Here is a 23506-nt window from a genome sequence, read left to right as displayed (position 1 = left end):
ACCAGCCTGGAAAACAGTGAGACCTGCATCTCTACAAAAAAACAAAAAATTACCCAGGCATGGTGGTACACACCTTGTGGTCCCAGTTGCTTGGGAGGCTGAGGTGGGAGAATCACTTGAGCCTGGGAGATCAAGGCTGCATTGAAGTCTCATCACGCCACTGCACTCGAGCCTGGGTGACAGAGCAAGACCCTATCTCAAAAAAAAAAAAAAAAAAAGAACCCCCCCCCCCCACCAAAAAAGGCATGTGATCAGTAAAAAAGACATTATTTGCTTATATTGTAGAGTGGTTCTAAAATATAGATTTTACATTGAGAAATTTTAATACTCTCTTTTTTCTTTTTTTTTTCTTTGTTTTACTTTCTAAAGATGAGGAAGAAAATGCTTCCCGTTCTTCTGGATGAGCATCCTATCTTCGTAGTTGGTTTGGACTTCGATAGGTTGATGGAAGGAATACTTCTATTAACCAAATAGAATCTGTTTACAAAAATGGTTCGTGTGTGTTACCATTATTCTTTTGTCAAAAAGTGTGTATATATGTTTGCATTTACATATATTTGTACATCTGTATGACAGATGTATTTTAAAAGTTTCAACTTGAAGTAAAAGTACAACAGCTTGAAGTGTTGATACCAGGCCACAGCCCTCTAACTCATGTGATCTCCCATGCATGCTGCCAGAATAAAACCACCAGGAATGAATTCACTCCCCACTTCTCTGGAACCTCAGGACCCGCCCATTTCTCGGCAGTACTGTGAATTTTGAAGTTAAACTAAATTTTGGTACCATACCAACTGGAATTTAGGCTTTAAAAATAATGTTTCAAGGCCAGGTGTGGTGATTCATGCCTGAAATCCCACTACTTTGGGAGGCTGAGGCTGGAGAATCGCTTGAGGCTAGTGAGCTGTGATTGTACCACTGCACTCCAGCTCGGGGAACAGAGCGAGACCTTGTCTCTAAAAATAATAATAGTAATAAAAATAACGTTTTATGACTATTTATTGCAAGGTCAGATTTACAGATTGTTATAAATTGTTGAGAAATTTTTGTGATTAGAATATGAAGGAAAAAGCTTTGTTGGTAAAAGTGACATGTTAAGGGGCTATGAAGTAAATATGCTGCAGTTAATTGTGCTAAGTTAAAATACAGTTTAGTTATTTGCTTTAAAATAAACTCTTCTTTTTTTCTTTAAAGTATACTACCTCAAAACTCATTATGTTGTCAGAGCCCTAGAGCTGGCTAGTGTAACACTGACTATGAGTAGGTGGGCCCACCACTTGAGTTGAGGTGATTTCATGGTGTCTTTCCAGGCTCTTGATAGGGTGTCACTGCATGCAAGCCATGAATCTGTTTTGAGAATCCTCTCCATTTTCCCAAATAAAAACCTATCCCAACAGTGACTATATCACTCAGCATTGGATCTAAATATAAAAGTGGTGCTTTCAGTGTTTTTGGCAGATAGTGTTCCATAACCTTTCCATCAGAAGGGATTTTAGACACCTTAGAGGTCCGTGCTACATCTTCACAGTTCCTCCGAATAACCTTAGGTGGTAGTGTTACTTGCCTTTGACACCTGTGCATATGTTTTAATGACTAGATCCAAACTGTGTTGTTCTTAAATCAAAAATTGGATAATTTTTAATATTTATGTATTAATCACACAGTGTGCTCTCTGAAGTTCTCTTAAGCCTTCAGTTTATACTCTTAATTTTCTTTCTGAGCTGGGGAACTGACTTTGCACTTTGGTTACACAGAACATTGGTTTCCAATTTAGTTTAACTGAAATTTGCTGCTGATATGTTGAGTTTGTTCTTTAAAAAATATCTCATATATCTCGTCTTTCCTCCTTAGAAGAACAGACCTAACTAGCGAATGTATGAATGAAAATGCATCTATTTCAGAGCCGACATGAAGAGTTTAGTTTTTTTACTTTATAAACTGTGAATATGAGTATGCCAGCTGCATTAGATGTAACTAATCATATTTAAATATATTTCACTTTGACTTTAGACCTTTTGAAGTCTGTATAAACTTGTTTTGAAATACAGTCTCCACTTACGAATGTCATAACAAAATACTTTTTTGCATGATAAAAAATTACTTTGATTACAAAAGGCATATTCTTTCATGGTTTCTGCAATGAGAGGAAGTGTAATGATTATTTTAATATTTCTATTAAAACTGTATATTTTTATGGCTGCTCTTTTATGTTACCCACTGTCTCTTTGGGGTTGTTAATTGGTTTCTGAAAGGGAACTTCAAACTCCTTTACTACTGGCCTTCCATGGTTGGTCCCTATTAGGTTGTTGTGAGAACGTCGACCAACTCTTTGATACCCGCCAGGTAGACCGTAGTACCTGCCATGTCTGACACCCTGCATCCAGCTAAAACCAGAAACAGCGCTGGGCCTCCCTGTGGACAAGACATTGATTTGACCAGAAGCAGATGTCTGGCTAAGGCTGCCAACCAAAGGGTGGCCTTAGATGAAGGGCTTTGTTCAGTTAGGGGCAGAGGTCATTAATTTTTTTTTTTTTTTTTGAGACAGAGTCTTGCTCTGTCGCCCAGGCGTGAGTGCAATGGCGCGATCTCGGCTCACTGCAAGCTCTGCCTCCCAGGTTCACGCCATTCTCCTGCCTCAGCCTCCTAAGTAGCTGGGACTACAGGCGCCGGCCACCATGCCCGGCTAATTTTTTGTATTTTTACTAGAGACAGGGTTTCACCGTGTTAGCCTGGATGGTCTCGATCTCCTGGAGGTAATTTATTTCTTTGGATGTTTGGACTAGGAGATGGGGAGAGGCAGAGCAGAAAGAGAAACACAGATGCCACAAGGAGGAGGAACAGAGCTAACCCTGGATAGGACTGGACACAGCAGCCAGACCAAGAGAGGCATCTAGTGAGAAGCAGCTCTTCAGCCCTGGGCCTGGTGCACACATCACTCCTTGGTTTCTAAGAACCAAATTTGGCCCAGCACAGTGGCTCATGCCTGTAATCCCAGCACCTTGGGAGGCCAAAGCGGGTAGATCATGAGGTCAAGAGATCAAGACCATCCTGGCCAACATGGTGAATCCCCGTCTCTACTAAAAACACACAAAAAATCAGCTGGGCATGGTGGTGTGCACCTGTAGTCCTAGCTACTTGGGAAGCTGAGGCAGGAGAATCACTTGAACCCAGGTGGCAGAGTCCAGTGAGCTGAGATCACACTACTGCACTCCAGCCTGGCGACAGAGTGAGACTCTGTCAAAAAAATAAAGCCAAATTCATACAGTCCCTGAGGAGTGGGAACTGATGCACATCTCTTGCATACAATAAGCTATGCTTGTGCTCTGAACAGTGTAAGATTGAGAATTGTATTCCTTTAAAGAAAGTTCGGCAGAACTGTAACTGAATTACTAACAAGGCACTGAGAAGGCATACCGTACTTTGTATGGTATTTGGCGAATGGCATAACACATCAAAAAATTGGTTGTATCATATGATTAAATTGCAACGTGATGATTTCAACTTGGTGGAAGACTTCTGCTTCGTCTTGGTATGTGAAAATCCCCTTTGCTTCAAACTTAATACACACCAAGGAAAACAACCTGATACAAGTTTGCAAGTGTCTTTGAGCTAATGGCTTTTCGTGGGTATTAAAAAGCATTGGGTTATTTATGTATAATTACGTAGAAAGAAAATGTTTGTTCCATTCAAGATACGGTTACACAAAAAGTCATCTAGTTGTGACCTTCAAATTATTACTTATATACCTACAGAAAATTCCTATAAATAGGCTGGGCGCGATGGCTCACACCTGTCATCCCGGCACTTAGGGAGGCCAGGGTGGGCAGATCACCTGAGGTCAGGAGTCCAAGACCAGCCTGGCCAATATGGTGAAAACTTGTCTCTACGAAAAATACAAAAATTAGCCAGGCATGTTGGCCCATGCCTGTAGTCCCAGCTACTCAGCAGGCTGAGGTAGGAGAATCGCTTGAACTCGGGAGGGGAGGCTGCAGTGAGCCAAGATCACACACCACTGCACTCCAGCCTGGGCAACAAAGTGAGACCCCCATCTCAAATAAGGAAAGAAAATTCCTATGAAGAAACACTATACCTCTGAGTTTCAATAATAGAGATGATTAACCCAGTTTCCCTGCAAGGATGTGCTCACTGTGAACAGATGTAGTGGTTACCACTCCAGATGTCTGCCTAGCATTTGAGACAACAGTCTCTGTCACCCCTGCCTCTCTCTGGGAACTTCTGCCCCACCACCATACAGAGGGGCAGTAGGCCCAGCCATAATCAACTGAAACAGACACAGAGTTATGACCTGAGCCTAGGCAATTAGGTTTTCTCAGGAATATGGATCTGGGACTAAAGAACTCAGCATCTTCCTGTGACTGGAGTTGTAGCATGTAAGTACAGAAGCTTTGGAGTGCCCAGAAAGAGCAGAGAAAGCCAAGAGAGTGCCAGGTTTAAGTTGACATAAGAGGTCAACAAAATCGTGAAGTGAGTGTTCTGGGGACCTGAGAGTCAAGGGACTGGATTCTGTACAATGTCTCTGCATCATCATAGTAAACTTCCTACACATGCTTTGAAAGTAAATATCAGATAATTTGGAGCACAGTATAATGGTAAAGTATAAACTGTGAACTTACACAAGGACACCACAATTTCTGCCTCACTGACGAATAACTTGGGGCATGTTCTTGACTGCTCTGAGCCCCCATTTCTTTATCTGTAAAAAGGAAATAAATTACATAGTTGTGAGTTATTGGATGACATAATAAAACCCAGCACAGAGGGCTGGGCGCAGTGGCTCACGCCTGTAATCCCAGCACTTTGGGAGGCCACGGTGGGCGTATCACAAGGTCAGGAGATCGGGAGCATCCTGGCTAACACGGTGAAGCCCCGTCTCTACTAAAAATACAAAAAATCAGCCAGGCATGGTGGCAGGTGCCTGTAGTCCCAGCTACTTGGGAGGCTGAGGCAGAAGAATGGCGTGAACCCAGGAGGCGGAGCTTGCAGTGAGCCGAGATTGCGCCGCTGCACTCCAGCCTGGGCGACAGAGCAAGACCCCATCTCAACAAAAAAAACAAAAAAAAAAAAACCCAGCACAGAGTAGGCATGCCAGCATTCTCTCACTTCTCAGCCTGCAAAAAGATTTACCAATTTACCTCATTTTCTTCTGTTCCTTGTTCTGACCTCAGTGCATGACCCACAGCACCAAGTGTTACTGTCGTTTATGAGTGAACAATTGTGTTAATAAGGAAATAAATTGAATGTTTTCCAGCATTTTGACCTTATTTTTTAAAACTTTGTACCTCCCAGAGCTGGGAAGAGATTCCAGATTTCCAGACTTAGTCCAGAGTCATGACTAATGCTGGACTTCGTCTATAGCTCTTATTGAAATGTCAGAAAACATTTTTTGCCCCAAAAACTATTAACTGATAAATTTATAGCATCAAACTGCATTTTTTAAAGGAGGCTTTTTGTTTTTTCTTTTTTGAGAGAGAGAGAGAGTCTTGCTCTGTCACCCAGGCTGGAGTGCCTTGGCATAGTCTCAGTTCTCTGCAATCTCTGCCTCCTGGTCTCAGGTGATTCTCCTGCCTCAGCCTCCCAAGTAGCTGGGACTACAGGTGTGCACCACCACATCTGGCTAATTTTTGTTTGTTTTTGGTAGAGACGAGGTTTTGCCATGTTACCTAGGCTGATCTTGAACTCCTGGACTCAAGTGATCCACCCACCTCGGCCTCCCAAAGTGCTGAGATTTCAGGTGTGAACCACCACACCTGGCCAAAAGAGACTTTTTTTTTTTTTTTTTTTTTTTTTTTTTTTTTGAGATGAGTGTCGCTCTGTCGCCAGGCTGGAGTACAGTGGCATGGTCTCAGCTCACTGCAACCTCCACCTCCTGGGTTCAAGTGATTCTCCTGCCTCAGCCTCCCGAGTAGCTGGGACTATAGGCACGCGCCACCACGTCCAGCTAATTTTTTGTATTTTTAGTACAGATGGAGTTTCACTGTGTTAGCCAGGATGGTCTCGATCTCCTGACCTCGTGATCTGCCCACCTTTGTCCCCCAAAGTGCTGGGATTACAGGCGTGAACCATCGCGCCCAGCCCATGCCCGGCTAATTTTTTTTTTTTTTTTTTTTTTGGATTTTAGTAGAGACAAGGTTTCACCATGTTGCCCAGGCTGGTCTTGAACTCCTGAGTGCAGGCAATCTGCCCACCTCACCCTCCCAAAGTGCTAGGATTACAGGTATTTGGTTTTTTGTTTGGTTTTCAAGCAACCTTTCTAAATTTTGCTATGCTCACTCTTTCTTCACATGTTGGTACTGGCTAGATACAGATTTTGCTTTCCTATTGGAGACTCTTTTGAGAGCTGGCTATCCCCTCTTGCTCCTTTTCTTTTTTCTCTTCCCTACTTTCAAGTTTCTTGCTCTTTTTCTTACCCCATAAGTTACCAGAAATTCATACCCCCTTGAGAGGGCTTTTTGTTTGAACTTCAGTCTTTAGTTTCGTCAACTTTTCTAAGGCAATTGATCTGTTAATGAAAGTTGGCTTGCTTGACTTCAGAATATCTGTATTATTCAGTGATGTGTTTTTCTGGTTGCTTTGTTTGAGCACAGTGTAAATATCACCCATTGCATAGCTTTGGCAGTGACATAAATCTGGCAGCGTAAGATCGAGAAAAGCTAGAAGTCTCACCACAGATTGTATTTCAGTGAAAGGGATTCTTTTTAACTGCTTATAAAACTAAAGAAAACCTATAAACATGGAAAACAATTATTAAACCCACCATATGCTCATACTGATATTAAATGGTGTGACAGATTCTAGAAAGAGTTACCTTTTGGTAAGAGCACTGCTTGTTAACTATAGTTGATTGCTTTAGATGTCTAGTGTGTACACAAAAGCATGAATTTTATTCCTTATAACCAAAGTAGAAACCTACTCTGAGCAATTTGACAAAAGGTTTACATTATTTATTTTAGTGTAGTTTAAGATTACAGTAAGATACAATTCCCAAAGAGTGAAATATAAGGCTGGGCGTGGTGGATCACGCCTGTAATCCTAACACTTTGGGAGGCTGAGGCGGGTGGATCACCTGAGGTCAGGAGTTCGAGACCAGCCTGGCCAACATGACAAAACCCCGTATCTACTAAAAATACAACAATTAGCCAGACGTGGTGGTGCGCACCTGTAATCCCAACTACTAGGGAGGCTGAGGCAGGAGAATCACTTGAACCTGGTGGGGCGGAGGCTGGAGTGAGCTGAGATCATGCCATTGCACTCCAGCCTGGGCACACTCGCAAAAAAAAAAAGTGCAATATAGCTTTTCACAAAATATGGAACTGTGGTAGTGTAGAACAATGTCTCAATATACCTCCTACACTAAGTATAATAGTAAATATCTGTATTTGGTGGCATAATATGTTCTTAGTATAAACCAAAAACACATGCTGAGCATTGGACATTGTCCAATGTTTAATTCATATGATTCATTCTGAGTTTCTGACTGAGATCATTCTTTCAGACTATGTCTATTTGTCCTGGGACCCATAAAATATGCAGCCCTAACATGATTTCATTTTTGTTTCCTTTCCTGGAAAAGGAGAAATCATTCAGATCAGCTTTCATATTGCCTTATAGACGATGACTTCAAAATAGTTTGAAAGGGACTCCTTTGTTCTAGAACTGCTCTAACACAGTAGCCACTAGCCACATGTGGCTATTGAAAGATTGAAATGTGGTTATTCCAAATCAGGATGTACAGTAAATATAAAATACACACCAGATTTCAAAGGCTTACATGAAAAAAGTAATGTGAAATATCTCACTAGTAGTTTTTATAGTGATTACATGTTGAAATTTTAACATTGTGAACATATTAGTTTAAATAAAATGTATTGTGAAAATTAATTCCATGTTTCTATTTACTTTTGATAAAAGTACTACTAGAGGCTGGGTGTGGTGGCTCACTCCTGTAGTCCCAGCACTTTGGGAGGCTGAGGTGGGAGGATCACGAGGTCAGGAGACCGAGACCATCCTGGCTAACACGGTGAAACCCCGTCTCTACTAAAAACACAGAAAATTAGCCAGGAGTGGTGGCAGGCGCCTGTAGTCCCAGCTACTAGGGAGGCTGAGGCAGGAGAATGGCGCGAACCTGGGAGGCGGAGCTTGCAGTGAGCTGAGATCGTGCCACTGCACTCCAGCCTGGGCTTCAGAGCGAGACTCCGTCTCAGAAAAAGAAACACTACTAGCACATTTTTAAATTACTTGTAGTGATCTCATTTGTACCACATTACATTTCAATCGTATACTGCTTTTCTAAAGAGTCACTGCTAAGCCCTGAAATTAACTCCAAATACCTCCCTGGAATACAGTGCCAAGGCAGGGGCTTCCTTGAACTTCAACCTCCAAAAGTAAGCAAGAATTGAGAAATATCTTCTGCTTTGAAAAATATTCACTCCCCAACCCTAATACATCAATTACATATTATTTGGGGGCTAACTAAGCTCCTGTTTTAAAATGTAAATTGAAGAAATTAGGCCAGAGTCATTCCCATCTTAGTGCCAATCATATAATCAGATAATTAGATTGCTCTTTCCCTAAAGCCTGTTTAGTTTTCTTGTTTGCTGGTTTTGTTGTTGTTGGGTTTTTTAATTTGTTTTTGTTGTTGTTGTTGTTGTTTTGAGATGGATACTCACTGTGTCACCCAGGCTAGAGTGCAGCGGCATGATCTCTGCTCAGTGCAACCTCCAACTCCTGGGTTCAAGCGATTCTCCTGCCTCAGCCTCCTGAGTAGCTGGGACTATAGGTGCATGCCACCACGCCCGTCTAATTTTTTTGTTGTTTTGTTTTTTTTTTGTTGTTTTTTTTTGTTTGTTTTGAGACAGTCTCGCTGTTTCCCAGGCTGGAGTGCAGTGGCACGATCTCGGCTCACTGCAACCTCCACTTCCGAGGTTCAAGCAATTCTCCTGCCTCAGCCTCCCAAGTGGCTGGGACTACAGGTGCATGCCATTATGCCTGGCTAATTTTTTGTATTTTTAGCAGAGATGGGGTTTCGCCATGTTGGCCAAACTGGCCTCAAACTTCTGGCCTCAGGTGATCCAGCCGTCTCAGATCAAAGTGCTGGGATTCCAGGCATGAGCCACCACTCACAGCTCGCTAAGGCCTTTTGCCAAGACAAATTAGCTCTTAGAGAACCACAGGATTCCTCTTGTAATGTATTACAAACTAAAGTCTTACCTGCTCTTGAAGAGTAGAAAACATGAAAAAGTTCTGTTAGCCCTTAGAATAATTAAAAATTCATAAGCTCTGAAATAAATACAGGTAATAAAGGTAATAAAATTATTGCCTATGACAAAACAAAAGTTTAAATTGGCGTTTGTAAACTCTGCACGAAAGCCAGGTTTCTCACTACTAGAAAAAGAAAAAAAGTTATAAATAAGCCAAGAATTCCAGAATGAATCCTGTGGTGCCAAATATATGTTAACTACAAGGAATAACAGTGACCTTACACTGGAAACACCTTAACCATGGGCCAAGGTTAAAGATATAACAGCATTCTCACACCCCTTGCACAGCTACCCCCAATGTTAACATAACTGTTAATAAATTATCAAAACTAAGAAATTAGTCTTGGTATAGTATCACTAACTACACTCCAGACCTCAGTCAGGTTTTCCCAGTCTTTCCTTCAGTGTCCTTCCTCTGTTTCAGGATTCAATCCATGATCCTTGACACTTGGTACTTTGTCAGATGTCCTGCTATATGGGTTTGTTTGATGTTTTCCCATGATTAGGGATAGACACTGCAAGACTCAGAGCTACTTTACAAAGAAGCCTCTAGGGAGCTCCCCAGAGAAGACAGGGGAGACAACACAGGGACACTAGAGGAAATTTTAGCCTCTGACATCCATGACTATATAGCAAAGAGTAAACAAAGCCTAACTCCTAGCCAGAGAAATACAAAATCTCATACTAAAGCCTTATTTAACTCAGTTCCTTTCACCCAGTACATCATATACAGCCTCAAACAAAAAATTACAAAGCATACTAAAAGACAAGAAACCCCACACTTTGAAGAGACAGAGCAAGCATCAGAACCAGACTCAGATATGAAAGAAATATTGGAAGTGTCCAACCAGGAATTTAAAATAACTAAGATTAACATGCTAGGGGCTCTAATGTAAAAACAGCATAACATGCAAGAACAGATGGGTAATGTAAGCAAAGAGATAAAAACACTAAGAAGAAATAAAAATGAAATACTAGAAATAAAAAACACCATAACAGAAATGAAGAATGCCTTTGATGGGTTCATCAAAAGAATGGATATGGCCAATGAAAGAATCAGTGAGCTTGAAGAGATGTCAATAGATACTTCAAAAGCTGACACACAATGAGAAAAAAGAATGAAAAAGAAAAAACAGAACAAGAGTCAAGAACTGTGAGACAATTACAAAAGGTGGAACATGGAGACTTTTTGGAAATACCAGAAAGAGAAGAAAAAGAGAAAGAAAGCTGGGCGTGGTGGCTTATGCCTATAATCCCCACACTTTGGGAGGCTGAGGCGGGCAGATCACAAGGTCAGGAGATCGAGACCATCCTGGCTAACACGGTGAAACCCTGTCTCTACTAAAAATACAAAAAATTAGCAGGGCATGGTGGCAGGCGCCTGTAGTCCCAGCTACTAGGGAGGCTGAGGCAGGAGAATGGCGCGAACCTGGGAGGCGGAGCTTGCAGTGAGCTGAGATCGTGCCACTGCACTCCAGCCTGGGCAACAGAGCAAGACTCCGTCTCAAAAAAAAAAAAAAGAAAGAAAGAAAGAAACAGAAGAAACATTTGAAGCAACAGTGACTGAAAATTTCCCCAAATTAATGATATATAAAGATATGGTCTGAATGTTTGTGTCTCCTCAAAAGTTATATTGAAACTTAATCCTCAATATGATAGTACTGAGGTGGGGCTTTTGGGAGTCAATCAGGTTATGAGGGCTCTATCCTCAGGACAGAGATTAGTGCACTTATGAAAGAAGCCCCAGGGAATTAGCTAGCCCCTTACACCATGTGAGGACAAAGCCAGAATGTGCCATCTATGAGGAAGGAGGGCCTCACCAGACACTGCTAGTGCCTTGGTCTTGGACATCACAGCCCCTAGAACTGTGAGAAATAAATTTCTGTTGTTTATAAACTCTCCAGTTTATGAAATTTTTGTCACAGCAGCCCAAATGAACTAAGGTAGACATAAAGGAACAGATCCAGGAAGCTCAAAAAACACCATATAGGATAAATAACAAAAATGTTACATCGAGGTATATCTTTTTTTTTTTTCCTAAGATGGAGTTTCGCTCTTGTTGCCCAGGCTAGAGTGCAATGGTGCAATCTCAGCTCACTGCAGCCTCTGCCTCCTGGGTTCAAGCGATTATCCTGCCTCAGCCTCCCAAGTAGCTGGGATTACAGACCCCCGCCACTAAGCCCAGCTAATTTTTTGTATTTTTAGTAGAGATGGGGTTTCACTATGTTGGCCAGGCTGGTCTTGAACTCCTGGCCTCAGGTGATCTGCCTGTCTTGGCCTCCCAAAGTGCTGGGATTACAGGCATGAGCCACTAGGCCTGCCTAAGTATATCTTATCTAGACACAGATCTCAATCCTTTCACAAAAATTAACTCAAAAGGGATCATAGACCTAAATGTAACATGCAACACTACAGAATTCCTAGAAGATAACATAGGAGAAAACTCAGGTGACCTTGGATTTGGTGATGACTTTTTAGATATAACATCAAAAACATGACTCATAAAAGAAAAAATTGGTAAGTTGGACTTCACTAAAATTAAATTTTTCTGCTCACACAGGACACTGTTAAGAGAATGAAAAGGTAAGCCATTAAATGGGAAAAAATCTTTGCAAAAAAATAGTTCTTTATATATGATATATAATAATATATATCATATATAATATTATATATATATATATTCTGAAAAAGGCAAAACCATAGAAACAGTAAGAAGTTCAGTGGTTGCCAGGAGTTAGGTGTTGGGGGCGGGGAGGGTGGATAAATGGTGGAGAACAGCTGATTTTTAGGGTAGTGAAACTATTCTGTTTCTGTAATGATGAATACATGTCATTATACATTTGTCAAAACCCATAGACTATACAACACCAAGAATGAACTCTAATGTAATCCACAAAGCACTATTGTTAACAAAGCTTTAATAATGGCTCATCAATTATAACAAATGTACTATAACTAATGCAAGATGTTAATAATAAGGGAAACGGGGGTGGGAGGGTTTGGGGTAAGAGGGCATATGGGAATTCTCTTCTGTTTGCTCACTTTTCTGATAAGCTGTAATTGTTCAAACAATAAAATGTATTATTAATAGTTTTCAAAAATTCACTCAATGGGCTACATAGCAGAATGCAGATGACAATGATAGGAGTTTGTGAACTTGACGACAGATTAGAAATGGTAGACCTAAATCCTACCAAATCAATAATTACATTAAATGTAAATGGTCTAAATATACCAACTGTAATGCAGAGATTGTCAGACTACATTAAACAGACAAGACCTGAGTACATGCTATTTATAAGAAAATCACTTTCAATATAAAGACTTAATTGATTAAAAGAATGGGCTGGGCTTGGTGGCTCACACCTGTAATCCCAGCACTTTGGGAGGCCAAGGCAGGCAGATCAAGAGGTCAGGAGACCGAGATCATCCTGGCTAACACGGTGAAACCCCGTCTCTACTAAAAATACAAAAAATTAGCCAGACATAATGGCACGCACCTGTAGTCCCAGCTACTTGGGAGGCTGAGGCAGGAGAATCGCTTGAACCTCAGAGGTGGAGGTTGCACTGAGCTGAGATCATGCCACTGCACTCCAGCCTGGGTGACAGAGTGAGACTTCATATCAAAAATATATATATAGAAAAATAAAATTAAAAGTGGAAAAATGCAAATACTAATCAAAGGAAATTAGGCTGGGTGTGGTAGCTTACACCTGTAATTCTAGCACTTTGGGAGGCCAAGGCAGGAAGACTTCTTGAGGCTAGGAGTTCCAGACCAGCCTGGGCAACAGAATGAGATCCCTTCTCTACAAATGAAAAAAAAAAGTTTAAATAGCCCAGCATGGTGGCATGCATGGTATAATGTACCCTAGCTACTTGGGAGGCTGAGGTGGGAGGATCGCTTGAGCTCAGTAGTTTGAGGTTACAGCAAGCTATGATCACACCACTGCACTCCAGCCTGGGCAACAGAATGAGACCCTGTATCTAAAAAAATAAGCAAAAGAAAAAGGAAATGAGAGTGTCTATATTAATATCAAAGTAGACTTCAAACAAAGATGATTACCATGAATAAAGAAGGATATTACATAATTATTAAAGGGTCAATTCAACAAGAAGACATAACAATCATAAATGTGTAAATATAATTCCATAGTAAAAGGAATCAGGAGGCTTGAGAGATGCTTATTTCAGGTCTGGGGTAAGGAATGTACAAAGTGAACCAGGACTAATGAAGTTATATTAAAACTCCAAAAGACGAAAAGAGTCATTTAAAAGACTAATGGAGTCATATGAAAAGGTCCCAGGAGCCAACAGAAAGGACTCCCCTTGGCCAAATCTGGAACATTTTGACAGTTTGAGCATCAATAAGAGTAATGAACCATAATTGACTAGAAGACATTTAAAGCATAAAAATTCTTGAGTCCATAATCATACTCAATAAAGATGAAAACAAACCATCTTAATCATCACTGATGGGGGTGGCTGTTATTCAAGTTCTTATTCTAAAACTTGGTAATTAAAGGTAAGTAAAGAATAATGTATTCTTTCTCTGCAGTGGAACTAAGTTTTAGATACAAAATAACCCCAGTGGATGAGGGAAAGTTCTTTAGAGGTAAGAATGACAGTTAATAAATGTAGAAAAAAAAAGATAATTTAATCACCATTTTGCAACTTCTAATTAAGTAACTGATCTGAGAAAGAATCATTACTGCATGCTAAAACCATTAAGGGAAAGATGTCAAAGATCTCAGTGTTCCAACCCATAGAATACTTTCCAGTGGCAAGAAGATAAATCGATAGTTAACCCTATAATCTTAGAATCTCTAATAGTGGGTACACTAGATATTATGTGAAGAAAATGGCATCAGGCTGGGCGTGGTGGCTCATACCTGTAATCCCAGCACTTTGGGAGGCAGAGGTGGGTGGATCACCTAAAGTCAGGAGTTCGAGACCAGCCTGGCCAATATGGTGAAACCCCATCTCTACTAAAAATACAAAAACTTTCAGGGCATGGTGGCGAGCACCTGTAATCCCAGCTACGTGGGAGGCTGAGGCAGGAGAATCACTTGAACCCAGGAGGCGGAGGTTGCAGTGAGCCGAGATCGTGCCACTGCACTCCAGCCTGGGTGACGAGAGTGAAACTGCATAAGAAAGAAAAGAAAAGAAAAGAAAGAAAGAAAGAAAGAAAGAAAGAAAGAAAGAAAGAAAGAAAGAAAGAAAGAAAATGATATCAATGGTGAAGAATTGTTGTCCAACATGTTTAATGTAATTGTGTTCAAGCCTAAAATTCTGCTTTACTGGAAATAAAAGAGAATACAGTTAAAGGACACCATGAGGAAACAATCAGATAAATACAGAAAGTGAGAACATTGACCCAACTTCTGTAAGTCAACTGGCTAGGTCTCTCCAATAAGTTCAAAGTCAAGAAAAAAAAGGGGGGGCCAGGTACTACACTTGATTTTTAAAAAGCTTAGAGACAAACAATGAAATGCAACCTATGCTCCTTAATTAGAACCCTATTTAAACAAACCAGCTCTCAAAGACATTTTTTGGGGTCAAAAAGGGAAAGGTGAATATAGTCTGGTTATTAGAGAACATTTAGAAAGCACTGTTACTTGTATTAGGTGTGAAAATTGTGTGATTATATTGTGAAAGAATTCCTTCTTTAAAAAAGATGCATTCTAAAGTATTTAGGGGTGAAAAGTTTAAAGTAATTTACTTCAAACTACAGTGAAAAAAATTTAAACACTGCAAAATATTAACTGCTAAATCTAGATGGTGGCTTTATAATATTCATAGATGAACATATTTCCTTTAAATTTCTATGTGCTTAAAATTTTTCATGTTAAGTAATATATGTATTACACTGGGATACATATAACTATGATTGACAGAAAATAACACTAAAAGTGCAAGATCACTGATTCTGTCTAGGAAGTAGGATTATAGGGACTTCAATTTTCAAGTTAGCTTTTTTTTTTTGAGACGGAGTCTTGCTCTATCGCCCAGGCTAGAGTGCACTGGCGCAATCTCAGCTCCCTGCAAGCTTCGCCTCCCGGGTTCACACCATTCTCCTGCCTCAGCTGGGACTACAGGCACCACCACCATACCCGGCTAATTTTTTTTGTATTTTTAGTAGACACAGGGCTTCACCGTGTTAGCCAGGATGGTCTCGATCTCCTGACCTCAGGTGATCTGCCCACCCTGGCCTCCCAAAGTGCTGGGATTACAAGCGTGAGCCACTGTGCCCAGCCAGAAAAGAATATTTTTTAAAAAAGAAAATCCATAATCGTAGTAACATTTTCTAGATGGAAAAAACAAGAAAGAAAAATAGAAAATTAGGTACAGAAGGTAAGTTCCATTCAGCTGTGCTCAATTTTGGTAACATATTAAACATGGTCAAACGCTTCCTCATATTCCATGTCCCCCTTCCCACCACATACCATGGCAGTTTTTTCAGATGAATAAAAACAAAAGCTATGGACATGAATGCATTACCGAATGTCAAACTTGCGATGACCTGGCTCAAGCAGCAGAGGGTGCTCAAGATATTTCTGGATCACGTGCACTGGGCCCTGGTTGTCTATGAAATGGAGAAGCTCTGAAGCCTCTGAGGAGATGAGAATGCCTTCACCTAACAGGGAAAAAGCAAAAGAGAAACCAATCCAATTCAAACCAAGAGCTCTCTATAAAGCCAGAAAGGAAATACGAACAGCAAAAACCCCACAAGAGGCTTTCAATGTCCTGCTCACCTTTTTCCCTCCCTTCCTTACTCCAGTCCCCCACATGCTCCCTTCTCCCCTCAAGAGCACCCAGGATTATCCTACCAACTCTTTCTCCATACAGGTGTCAACGCTATCTTGGCTGGCTACAACCATGAAACGTCAGTTTTACAGAAATTCGTAGTGCCTAAGCACTCAAAATAAATACCATTCTAGTACTAGTCACTGGCTACCACAATAAAGACTATAACAACAATAAATCCCCTTCCTTCACTATATCTTATAGAACTACCAGGAAGATAAAGGCATAAAGATGAATGTTCAAGTACGTCCCTTGCAGCATTGCAATAGAAAAAACTGGATACATTGGAATTGTCCATTAACATTAAATAATTGATATATCCTTTTTAATAGCTTGAAGTATAATTCATATACCAAAAAATTTATCCTCTTAAAGTGCACAGTTCAATGGCTTTGAGTATATTCAAGAGTTTTAAACCATTACTACAGTTTTTGTTGTTATTTCTTTGTTTGTTTGTTTGTTTTTGAGATGGAGTCTCACTCTGTCGCCCAGGATGGAGTGCAGTGGCGCAATCTCAGCTCACTGTAACCTTCGCCTCCTGGATTCAAGCAATTCTCCCACCTCAGCCTCCCAAGTAGCTGGGATTACAGGTGTGCACCACCATGCCTGGCTAATTTTTGTATTTTTAGTACATATGGGGTTTCACCATGTTGGCCAGGATGGTCTTGGTCTTCTGACCTCGTGATCTGCCTGCCTTGGCCTCCCAAAGTGCTGGGATTACAGGTGTGAGCCACCATGCCCGGCCTACTACAGTTTAATTTTAGAACGGTTTCACCACTCCCCCCAAAAAAACTCTGTACCTATTAGCAGTCACTCACTACTCCCTCCTCACCCCAGCTTCTGACAACCACTAATCTACTTTCTGTATGTATGGATGTCTCATCTGGACATTTCATATAAATGGAATCACACAGTATGTGGCCTTTTGTGTCTAATTTCACTTAGCACAAAGTTTTCAAGGCTCATCCCCATTGTAGTGTGTATTAGCATCATGTTCACTCCTTTCTATGGCTGAAGAGTCATTTTTGTTCATTTAGTCATCAATTGATGGACGTTTGCATTGGTTCCATTCTTGTCTGCCTCTTATGAATAATGCTGCTATAAGATTTGCATACAAGTTTTTGTGAACATATATTTTCAATTCTCAGGAATACTAGGTATGCAGGTGTGTGCCACCACATTGGCTAATTTTTGTATTTTTTTGTAGAGCTGGGGTCTTACTGTTTGCTCTTTTTCTAATTGGATTGTGTGTCTGTTGTTGTTTACTGTTAAGTTTTGAAAGTTGTTTACATATTCTAGATCTGAGTCCCTTGTCATATGTATGACTTAAAAATCCTTTCACCCAGTTTGTAACTCATTTTTATACTCTAATGAGGTGTTTCATAGAGCAGAAGTTTTATTTTGATGAGGTTCAATTTATCAATTTTTACTTTTATGGATTATACTTTTGGAGTCAAGCTCAAGAACTCTTTGCCAAGCCCTATCTCCTCTTTTCTGAAAAATTATTAGGTCCACGATCCATTTTGAGTTAGTTTTTGTATGAGGTGTGAAGCTTATGTTGATGTTCATTTTTCTGCCTGTTGATATCCACCTTATCTAGTACAATTTGTTGAAAAGTTTATCCTTCCTCTATTGAATGGCTTTTGCACCTTTTTCAAATATCAGATGGGCATATATGTTTTGGTCTATTTCTGAGTTCTCTATTCTCTTCCACTGATTTATGTTTCTTCTGTTTTTGAGACAGAATCTTGCTCTGTCACATAGTGGTGTGATCTCGGCTCACTGCAACCTCTGCCCCCTGGTTCAAGCAATTCTCATGCCTCAGCCTCCCGAGTAGCTGAAAGTACAGGCATGCGCCACCACACCTGGCTAATTTTTTTTGTATTCTTAGTAGAGATGGGGTTTCACCATGTTGGCCAGGCTTGTCTTGAACTCCTGACCTCAGGTGATTCACCCGCCTTGGCCTCTGCTGGGATTTCAGCCGAGAGCCACCGTGCCTGGCCCCACTGATTTATGTTTCTATTTTTTCATGAATACTACAGTGTATTAAGTACTATAGCTCTAAAATACATCTTAATATCAGGTAGCATGTTCACTTATATTCTTCTTTTTCAAGATGTTTAAGCTATTCTAGGGCTTGTGCCTTTCCATATGAATTTTTATTATTTATTTATTGATTGAGATGGAGTCTTGGTCTTGTCGCCTAGGCTGGGCCCAAGCGATTCTTCTGCCTCAGCCTCCTAAATACCTGCAATTACAGGCGCCCTCCACCATGCCTGGCTAATTTTTGTATTTTTAGTAGGGACAGGGTTTCACCATGTTGGCCAGCCTGGTCTCGAACTCCTGACCTCCGGTGATCCACCTGCCTTGGCCTCCCAAAGTGCTGGGATTATAGGCGTGAGTCACTGCACCTGGCCTCCATGTAAATTTTTTTTTTTTTTTTGAGATGGAGTCTCGCTCTGTTGCCCAGGCTGGAGTGCAGTGACATGATCTTGGCTCACTGCAACCTCCGTCTCCCGGGTTTACGCCATTCTCCTGCCTCAGCATCCCGAGTAGCTGGGACCACAGGTGCCCACCACCACGCCCGGCTAATTTTTTGTATTTTGAGGAGAGACGGGGTTTCACCATGTTAGCCAAGATGGTCTCGATCTCCTGACCTCATGATCCACCTGCCTCGGCTTCCCAAAGTACTGGGATTACAAGTGTGAGCCACCGTGCCCGGCCCCTCCATGTAAATTTTAAAAGAAGCTCCATGTCTATACAAAAATCTTGCTAACATTTTGATAAGAATTACATAAACCTATAGACCAGTTTGGGGTGAACTGACATCTTTACTATACTGTCCTGCAATCCATGAACACAGTATGTCTGTCCATTTCTTTAGGTCCTCTTTGACTTCCTTCATAATCATTTTACTATTTTTAGCATACAGAGCCTATACATGTCTTGTTAAATTTATACCCAAGCATCACATTTTCTCTAGGGTGACTGTAAGTAGTACTGTGGTTTTTTGGGGTTTTTTTAGACGGAATTTTTGCTCTCTTGCCCAGGCTGGAGTGCAATGGTGCGATCTCAGCTCACTGCAACCTCTGCCTCCTGGGTTCAAGCGATTCTCCCACCTCAGCCTCTTGAGTAACAGGGATTACAGGTGACTGCCACCAAGCCCGGCTAATTTGTGTATTTTTATAGAGACAGGGTTTCAGCAAGTCGGCCAGACTGGTCTCGAACTCCTGACCTCAGGTGATCCGCCCGCCTTGGACTCTCAAAGTGCTGGGATTACAGGTGTGAGCCACTGCGCCCAGCTAAGTAGTTTTGTGTTTTTAACTTTGGTTTCCACATGTTCATTGTTGGCATATAAAAATGTGATTAAGTTTTGTGTGTTGCTCTCATATCCCATAATATGGCTGAACTCACTCTTTAGTGAGTTGTCACCACTTCTTATTTTAACCATTTTAATAAAAGTGTAGTGACAGCTCGCTGTGGTTTCAGTTTGCTAGAATCTTCTGATCTATGCTTTAGATTTATAGCTGATTTCTACCTGGATCTCATGCTTTCTTTATAAATGAATTCAATTCAGTTCATTAATTCAATGATCCACCTTTCCCAAACGTTAACGCCCTTTTCAACTATCTTCTTCCTGTCACTTGTTCGACCATCTGGTGAGCTTCTTGAACAAGAAACTGCAAATCAACCTGGAAAAGCTCCCTTCTTCTCTTTCCCTACACACATGACTCATGCTGTTTCATCTCCCTTAGGAATCAGACTCAGATTTTTTGATACAACAGTATCAAAAATTATAAAATAAATTTGAATTTTATGTATCGTTTTATACCTATAAAATAAGAAAACAAAAATGGTGATACTTTTAGTAGAAGTTCGTCATGAACTGCTCCCTGTTAGCTCACGGCCCTTTGAAAAAGCAAGAGGATAACACAGAGCAAGAGCCATAAAGGCTTCATATCATTTGACCAAGTAATCTCATGTTTCAAACTTACTCTAATGAAATTTTTAAGAAGAAACAAGAGTCAAGGCTGGGTGTGATGGCTCATGCCTGTAATCCCAGCACTTCGGGAGGCTTGAGGTGGGAAGATCACTTGAGCTCAGGAGTTCAAGAACAGCCTGGGTAACATAGTGAGACTTCATCTCTACTAAAAATCAAAAAATTAACAGGGTGTGGTGGTGCACGGCTGTCGTCCCAGCTACTCAAGAGCTTGAGATGGGAGCGGGCCCGGGCACGGTGGCTCACGCCTGTAATCCCAGCACTTTGGGAGGCTGAGGCGGGCGGATCACGAGGTCAGGAGATCGAGACCATCCTGGCTAATGTGGTGAAACCCTGTCTCAACTAAAAATACAAAAAATTAGCCAGGTTTGGTGGTGGGTACCTGTAGTCCCAGCTACTCGGGATACTGAGGCAGGAGAATGGCCTGAACCTGGGAGGCGGAGCTTGCAGTGAGCTGAGATTGCACCACAGCACTCCAGCCTGGGCGACAGAGTGAGACTCTGTGTCAAAAAAAAAGAGGTTGAGGTGGGAGGATCGCTTGAGCCCAGGAAGTCGAGGCTGTAGTGAACTGAGATCATGCCATCTCACTCCAGCCTGGGCAACAAAGTGAGACCTTGTCTCAAACACACACACACACACACACACACACACACACATACAGACACATATATATATAAAATAAAAAATTAAAATTAAAAAAGAAACAAGGGTGATCTACAGCAAAGACATTTACTACTGTTATCTGTAATAGCGGAACAATGGGGTTGTTTCTAAACAATAATTTTCTGTTATAGATGTAGTGTGTTCCCACGCTCCAGGTGAGAGGTGAAGGTGGCTAGATTAGAGATAGGCAGTGGACATGGTAAACAGTGGCTTCATAATGGGTAGAGTTTGAAGGTTGAGCCAACTATACAAAGCATGTAGTGGGTACCAAATAAATACTTGTTTAACAAGAATAAAAGCCATTCATTCATCCTATTGATTTCATTTTATGGTTTCCAAACATAATAAATATATATCAAATATATATCTCTTCAACTCCTAAAGCAAAAAGTCTTTAGCATTTTATTCTCTCTTGACTTCCCCCTGCTGCTTGGTGTCCCTCTGAGTCTTGTCTTGGTGAGGGTCCAGGGATCACCAGGTGTCCTCACAGTGGCCATTCTGACTCCAATCCCAAACCCACCGGAGAAGGGATGTCTATTTCCTCTTCCAAATCCGTCATTTACCATTGGAACCACACTAGGGGGCAGTAGTTGAGAAAAGGTCACAAGAGGGGAGAGAGAAGTAGGTGAGATACCTGACTTGTGGCAAGAGTCCAACTCTCCCCCTTTCAGGGATACCAGTTGAGGCCTTCCTGTCTCATGGCTGGTGGAAAAGAAGGTGAGGTCCCTTCGACCCAGAACAGAAATGAGTACCAATGGCCAGATGTCTCCCAAGGCAATACAAGAAGTGAGTTCAAAGTGGAATGGTTTTTTTTTTATTTTTTGAGAAGGAGTCTTGTTCTGTCGCCCAGGCTGGAGGTGCGATCTCAGCTCACTGCAAGCTCCACTTCCCGGGTTCACGCCATTCTCCTGCCTCAGCCTCCCGAGTAGCTGGGACTACAGGCTCCCACCACCACGCCTGGCTGATTTTTGTATTTTTAGTAGAGACGGGGTTTCACCATGTTGGCCAGGCTGGTCTTGAGCTCTTGACCTCAAGCGATCTGCCCTCCTCAGCCTCCCAAAGTGCTGGGATTACAGGTGTGAGCCACTGTGCCCGGACTTTTTTTTTTTTTTTTTTTTAAAGAAAAGGTAGCATCTGTTTTCTCAGCCTGCTTCCTGCTAGAATTTTGGAGGTCCAACAATTCCTTTTTATGTTGTACTGGGTCTGCCTTTTCCACTCCAAACTGACACACAGATTTCTCAGGAAATTTGTGGGTCTTTTTGTTTGCTTGCATAATGTGTTAACTACATTAGACGAAACCCTACAAATCTCTCTGGATAAACCCTTCACTATCTTGAGCTTCTGCTGAGAGGCTGAGGAAAAATACTCTTAAGCTCCCTAGAGGTTTAATTGTTTGAGACAATCTGAGAGCAACACCCTTAATCTCTTTAAAGGGACCTTTGTGTGACTGAATATGACTGTGATCCTTTGGTCTCTCTGAGATTTTAACATTAGATTGTATATACATAGAAATAGGTAACTAATGCAGGCAGCGTTTAGCATTCTCCACTATATAGTGGATATAAACGCAATTCCCTCTCATTATTCTTTGACTTAGTGTCTTGGTGATTCTGAAGCATTTATTTTTCCATGTAATTTTTGAAATCCTTTTAGCTAGCTCAAACACATTGTGTAAGAACTGCAGCAATATCCATACATTATTAATGTTGGGAGGATTTTTATTCCTATGATAGTGAGTCTCCCCATTCAGATACGGTGTCTCTCAATGTACTTAGTTTTAACGTCCACTACAAAATTTTATTCAAGTTAAACTCATGTCCTTGATGTTATTTTTATTTCACTTTGAATTTAGTTGCTATTCAATGACATGGTTTTCCATTTCCATTTCTGATTTCTGTTCATAGAGAAAACATGTGCAACTATTTAACCAAATTTACTTATTCGTTTAAGATTGTTTTTGTTCCTTTTTTTTTTTCAAGACAGAGTCTTGCTCTGTCACCCAGGCTGGAGTGCAGTGGTGCGATCTCTGCTCACTGCAAGCTCTGCCTCCCGGGTTCACGCCATTCTCCTGCCTCAGCCTCCCGAGTAGCTGGGACTACAGGCACCCGCCACCACACCCGGCTAATTTTTTGTATTTTTAATAGAGACGGGGTTTCACCATGTTGGCTAGGATGGTCTCGGTCTCCTGACTTCATGATCTGCCCACTTCAGCCTCCCAAAGTGCTGGGATTACAGGCGTGAGCCACCGCGCCCGGCCTGTTTTTGTTTCTTTTCTAAAATATCTTGGATGGTTTTGCCTACTTTCCAACATTTAAATTGATTATTTCAATTTTTTTTTTTTTTTCTTTGAGACGGAGTCTCCCTCTGTCACCCAGGCTGGAGTGCAGTCTCGCGATCTCGGCTCACTGCAACCTCTACCTCCCGGGTTCAAGTGATTCTCCTGTCTCAGCTTCCCGAGTAGCTGGGATTACAGGTGCGCACCACCATGCCTGGCTAATTTTCTTTTTGGATTTTTAGTAGAAACGGGGTTTCACCATGTTGACCAGGCTGGTCTCGAACTCCTGACCTCAAGTGATCTGCCCACCTCGGCCTCCCAAAGTGCTGGGATTCCAGGCATGAGCCACCATGCCCGGCCCCAATTATTTCAATTTTTGATCGAATTATATTGAGTAGAATTTTGAAAAAATATGTTTAATAATGGTGGCAGCTGATATTTCAGCTTGAAACTGATGGATAAAATTGGCTCTGTGTTTTACTGTTT

General features: G+C 41.3%; 1 protein-coding gene and 1 long non-coding RNA gene across 11 annotated transcripts in view; one reads left to right on the top strand and one right to left on the bottom strand.

The window, feature by feature from the left end:
- RGPD6 (RANBP2 like and GRIP domain containing 6) overlaps positions 1 to 2213 on the top strand; it is a 97255-nt gene extending 95042 nt beyond the window's left edge. For all 10 annotated transcript variants that reach the window (NM_001384362.1, NM_001384363.1, NM_001386155.1 and 7 more), the window contains one exon: positions 370 to 2213. In NM_001384362.1, coding sequence (NP_001371291.1) covers positions 370 to 404 — 35 coding nt within the window. In that variant the 3' untranslated portion in view covers positions 405 to 2213. The remainder of the gene's footprint in view (positions 1 to 369) is intronic.
- Positions 2214 to 3220: 1007 nt separating this feature from the next.
- LOC102724875 (uncharacterized) lies at positions 3221 to 21546 on the bottom strand. Its single transcript, XR_427156.5, has 3 exons — positions 21380 to 21546; positions 15777 to 15912; positions 3221 to 4714 (listed from the first exon to the last, which is right to left on the bottom strand). It is a non-coding gene; the product is annotated as an uncharacterized LOC102724875 (long non-coding RNA).
- Between the last annotated feature and the right edge of the window lie 1960 nt (positions 21547 to 23506).

The sequence above is a fragment of the Homo sapiens genome, chromosome 2, assembly GCF_000001405.40.
Source record: "Homo sapiens chromosome 2, GRCh38.p14 Primary Assembly".
Lineage (NCBI taxonomy): Eukaryota > Metazoa > Chordata > Mammalia > Primates > Hominidae > Homo > Homo sapiens.
Note: the sequence above shows the minus strand (reverse complement) of the source record. Positions and strands in the feature narration are given on the sequence as shown.